Source organism: Homo sapiens, chromosome 6, assembly GCF_000001405.40.
Source record: "Homo sapiens chromosome 6, GRCh38.p14 Primary Assembly".
Classification (NCBI taxonomy): domain Eukaryota; kingdom Metazoa; phylum Chordata; class Mammalia; order Primates; family Hominidae; genus Homo; species Homo sapiens.
In genome coordinates this window covers 22,874,624-22,880,207 of record NC_000006.12, presented here as the reverse complement: position 1 = coordinate 22,880,207, position 5,584 = coordinate 22,874,624, and the positions used below count along the sequence as shown (strand labels likewise).

The 5,584-nt window shown below is 39.0% G+C and overlaps 1 annotated feature.

Moving 5' to 3' along the window:
- Positions 1,424 to 2,231: an enhancer, noted in NCBI's record as "OCT4-NANOG-H3K27ac hESC enhancer chr6:22878206-22879013 (GRCh37/hg19 assembly coordinates)". NCBI's record gives its function as "activates a minimal SCP1, AML or CMV promoter by ChIP-STARR-seq in naive and primed H9 embryonic stem cells {active_cell/tissue: H9 hESC(naive and primed)}" and the evidence as "EXISTENCE:reporter gene assay evidence [ECO:0000049][PMID:30033119]".

The following is a 5,584-nucleotide window of genomic DNA, read 5'->3' as shown; positions in this document are numbered from 1 at the left end:
AGGAATTTCAAATTTCTTGTTAGCCTCTTCATTTCATAGAATCTTTTTTTTTTTTTCGAGACGGAGTCTCACTCTGTCGCCCAGGCTGGAGTGCAGTGGCGCGATCTTGGCTCACTGCAAGCTCCGCCTCCCAGGTTCACGCCATTCTCCTGCCTCAGCCTCCCAAGTAACTGGGACTACAAGGCGCCCGCCACCACACCCGGCTAATTTTTGTATTTTTAGTAGAGACGGGGTTCCACCATGTTAGCCAGGATGGTTTCGATTTCCTGACCTGGTGATCCTCCTGCCTCGGCCTCCCAAAGTGCTGGGATTACAGGCATGAGCCACCGCGCCCGGCCCATTTTATACACAACAGGACCCAACCCAATTTGAGGACATAGTACCAATCCACTTCTGCCAGTGAAATTATTATCACATTTTCTCTAAATCCAGTTCAAGTCACAATTATAGCTAATAATTTTTACTTTTCTGCGTGCCAGCATGTGCTCACTACGTCGAATGCATTTTATTTTCATTAGTCCCCATAGAGTGGGTAATATTTTATTCATGTTTTACACATGGAGAAGCAGATTCAGAGAAGAAAAATAACTTTCCCAAGCTCAAATATGAATTATGTAAAGCAATCATGCCTTTAACTCCAGTATTCTGGAAGGGGGTATGCTCTTAACCACTAACAACAGATACCTACTTAGTACGAAGAGCTTCATATTTGGGCAAGAAAATTCCTGTTGAGGTGACAGAGAAAGGTATAAGCAAAACTGGAAGAGCATTTAGCAACAATTTTCGTTTCAGGTCTATGTTTTGAGAAGGCCATTCCCAGATATTGTGTGGATGAAGAATACGTAGAGGACCCCGACCTGGACCTACAACTGTGTATGAGTTCATCTTCAAGCTAAAATAGCCCAGATATCTCAGAAAAGACACAGTGTGACTAGATACTCCTAGAATTGCTTGCTCAAACCTACACTATGCATAACTTTTGACTTTCCAGTTATACCAATAAAGCATCATCATTTTTGAAGAAATACCCAGAGTCTTAAAAGACCCCAGATATTGTTGCTGCCGTCTCTGAACTCCAGTGGATAGGGAAAAATGTAGAACAGATTCCCTTATGGGAAGTTTAAATCCTAAGGCAATGTAGCCAAGTCATTCTTATTATTCATGAAATCAACCTGTTTCAGGGAACAAAGCTTTCCAATGCAATTTTCAAATAACACACTCAAACAGGTATGCAAGTAAAAAAGCCGGAAAGAAAAGGAAATTGGACCATGATATGTTGAATGCTTGCTTTGAAGAGATAGTTACAGCAAAATGATCAAGACCACAGGAATTGAGGGGAAGTCTGTGCATTCATTTATAAGTATGATGTTATGTATCATCAGCTACTTTTCACCTAGTATGTATTTAACATCTGTCAATGTTGCCTATACTAAGTCATTTTAATGTTAGTAATAGCTATTATTTTATTACATTTTATTTTATTATTATTTTATGAAAGCATATAGTATTATTCATATATATGACAGATTTTTATGAGAGAGAGAGGTTGAGAGAGAGAGAGAGAGAGAGATTCATGATAGAGAACTTTCGATGTCTGAAGCTTGTGGAGAAGTTATTCCTTGCAATAGACATTCAGATCATTTTCAGTTCCATGGCAGACACAGACCCTTTGTTATTAAACACATCAAAGCTTTGCTTCCAGGAAGGGCAGTCTTCTCAGTTGTTCCCTCTCTGAGTGCGAATTTGAATGCTTTTTTCATGGAAAGTGATTATTGTAAGGTAATAAAGAGGTAGTAAATGTGCTCTCTTTCTCTCTCTCCTTCATGCCATACTTTAAGAAAATAAATCTTTGACAAAAGATTAAATAAGCAATTGTTATCGAGCATATTGTTTTGTGACTCACAGACACATTTGTAATGTTAAATATTTATAGCATTTACACAACAGGACACATTTTCTCATTAGTTTTTTGAGGTTTTTCTTTTTTCTCCCTGAATTCCAAAAGGAGCCTTGACATTAAGCCTCTGCTTTGGAGAAAAACAACTACTCCAAAAATATGCTAACCATCTACCCCCTTGTTTGCATTCTATTCAGTGGCTCACATAAATATGCAAGATCTACAGAGAAAATGCAAAATGAAGTGCTTGACATTCTCTCTGGTGCTTCCAGCATTCCATTTGGGAACAGACCTACGCTGCTAAACCACACTTGCTCCAGACTCCGTTACCATGGACTAATGCAGCCCAAAGAGGATAATATTAGTAAGATAAGAGAAACGGGTCATATGCAATCCTTGGTACAAAACATAGTTGAGATGTGGCATAAAATAGAAATGTTTCTACTTATGCAGAGTGTGTATTGATGAGTTTTACTTTTTTTTTTTTTTGAGATGGAGTCTCACTCACTCTGTCGCCCCAGCTGGAGTGCTGTGGTGCAAGTTCGGCTCACTGCAGCCTCTGCTTCCCGAGTTCAAGCAATTCTCCTGCCTCAGCCTCTGGAGTAGCTGGGACTACAGGCATGTGCCACCATGGCTGGCTAATTTTTGTATTTTTAGTAGAGATGGGGTTTCACCATGTTGGCCAAGCTGGTCTCAAACTCCTGGCCTCAAGCAATCCACCTGCTTCGGCCTCCGAAAGTGCTGAGATTACAGACTTGATGAGTCACTGTGCCTGGCCTGTACTGATGAGTTTTAAGGAAGAGACGAGACTTTCTCTCTGAATCACTTTCCAGATCCATTCTTAGATAAACTTTCTGGGAAAATAGAGAATAGAATTTTATATTTTCAAAAAACCTGCTCCATTTATAAAATCTTGCATTTCCTGTTATTTCTTAAAATTGTCATATACATTTACACATATGCCAATTTTCACATACATATCAAAACACTATTTGTTCATCAGTCCTAATTTGCTAATTGGTTTTCTCACCAATGGAACTGATGCTGTCGATACACTCCTTTTTACCCCTCTCTGTTTGCCCATATTGAGTGTTTCTTCTCACACCTTCTTATTATCATTACTAAAGAACATAAATTATCTCTATATAAACTACATTTTCTAAAACACATCCCAACAAAGAGTAGTTTTATGGAAATTCAATGGATATTCTCAAAATTAGAATTCCATTTCAACTGCGTTTAGAAACATTCTGGGTAAAACAAAATTTAACGTTTCTTTATGTAGGATTTCTCGGAGTCTTTCATGAGCTTATGCATTACAGAGCTCCAAAAAAGAAATCCCAAAAGCATTCTTTTTTTCTTCCTTCAGAAAACCTTTGGCAGGACATTTTAAAGTCCTGGGCCAGCCAGGCAGTGGGCTTGACAGCTCAGCTGGGTACTCCAGAACCAACTTGCAATCTCTGCTCAGGGGTGAGCCAAGAGCCATAGGGTTGTGTCTTCTTCTGCTGCCTGATGATGGTACAGACAATGTAGGGGCCAGGGGAAAACTTCCCTTTCACCCTCTGAAAGATCGCTGAAGATCACTTAAAAAGGCAGATTAATAGGAGAAAGGGCATACAAATTTATTTGATTATACTTTTACATGACAGGGGAACTTTCAGAATGAAAACCTAAAGATACAGGGAAAACTGTCCATGCTTAGGTTCAACAAAGTATGGACAGCCCTATAGAAATATGACTGGGCAAAAGGGTAGAATCTAATGCTAATAGACTGGGGGAACCCAGCGAGGCATGTCTGTCTACATCCTTCTTGGCCTCTCTGTGCAGCATTCCTTACCTCTGGGGTGGGGCAAGACCCTTTCTGGAATGGGGGTCTTATCACCTAAAATCAAACAAGGTAGGTCAGATAATTTCTTTATGGCCAATTTTTACATAGAAAGGCAGGGGATCAAAGATTAGAGTAATATTTGTAGGTTTTGGTCATATTTTTAGGTTAGAATGACATTTTTACATTTTATGGCTGGCTTTGGAAAAAAGAGGTTCTGGTGTCTGTGACCTACCTTATGGAAAAGGGATTCTGTTTTCTATGGCTAACCTCAGGGGAGCAGAAAGGGCCAGAATTATGAGGGCAGGAGAAGGTCAGACAAAACTGCTTCTGAGACCCTCATTTTGGGGCATTGCTTCTTGAGACCTCGTAACAACCGGAAGGGTACATTTGTTTGTTTCCTGTTTCATGATTTTTCTTACTTCCCTCACCTATTTCACAATATTTCAATAGAACAATCTCCAAAAAAATTGTCCATTATCATTCCAGCCACCTATGGAAGTGAGTTAACATTACATATTGTGTAATATTATGAAAGTTAATATAAAGGAATGTCTTAGAATTTGCATGGAAATTTGACATAAATGACTCAGATAAAAATAATGTCACCTAATATGGTTTGGCTGTGTCCCCACCCAAATCTTAGCTTGAATTGTAGCTCCTATAATCCCCACGTGTGATGGGAGGGACGCCATGGGAGGTAATTGAATCATGGGGGCAGGTTTTTCCCATCTTGTAATAGTGAATAAGCTTCATCAGATCTGATGGTTTTATAAAGGGCAGTTCCCCTGCACAAGCTCTCTTGCTGCTGCTATGTAAGACATGCCTTTGCTCCTCCTTCACCTTCCGCCATGATTATGAGGCCTCCCCAGCCATGTGAAACTGTGAGTCTATTAAACCTCTTTTTCTCTATAAATTACCCAGTCTCAGATATTTCTTCAAAGCAGTATGAAAATGGGCTATCACCTCTTAAATAGGGCAGATTCCCAGTTATTTTGAGGGTCACTTTTTTTTAATGTCAGGCCATCTAGGCAAAGTGGGGGAAATAAAAGCACCTCCAAGTTTTGGTTTTGCTGTTTAAACATGGCAGCAAACAGCCAAGCAGGATGCATTTGGAGGGGTTGTAAGAACTCTGTTACATAGCAGATAGATGTTACACTATCCTTTAAAAAATAAAATGTCCCTAATAGAGGCTCATAGATGCATGGTGTTAGTATTTGGCCAATAATGACCAGTAGGCTAAATAGCACAAAGTCTACTGTCAATAGAAACCATTGAAATATTTTTTTAAATAGTGGTCGTTTGTTCAAATATTTATTTTGCTAAATTATGCCAAACAACTGGCTTAATGCATTACTTCATTAAATAGTTTTTTCTTGATCAACATGACTGAGTTCACAGGGTCTTCTATTATCATACTAAAGAACAAACAGAAAGCTAATAATGCCTTCGGATACCGAACAGTTTGCACATTCATTAGGTAGGTTCCTGTTTATAGTGCCCCTGTGAAGGCCTTGTATTTTATTACAACTGCTGATCTACTTGGGGAACATAGTGAAGCATGGGCTCTCTGGTAGGAGAGTTAAAGACTCAAGAAATTCAAATGCATATTGTCAGCTGTCAGACACTAATGACTTTACTGAGCTCAGTTGAAAGTTAGCTGATCAGAGTAAAAATGCCCTCTTTAAATTTGCTAACATATTTGGAGGGACTGTTTGCTAACATATCTGGTGTACAGAATTAGATGAATCATCATTCTTCATTTATGGCAGGTTTTGTTAATCTCATACATGGTACTATTTGGTTCCTTGATTCTTTGCCTTAAAAGCATATTAAAAACCTGTGAATCCACTACTCTACAC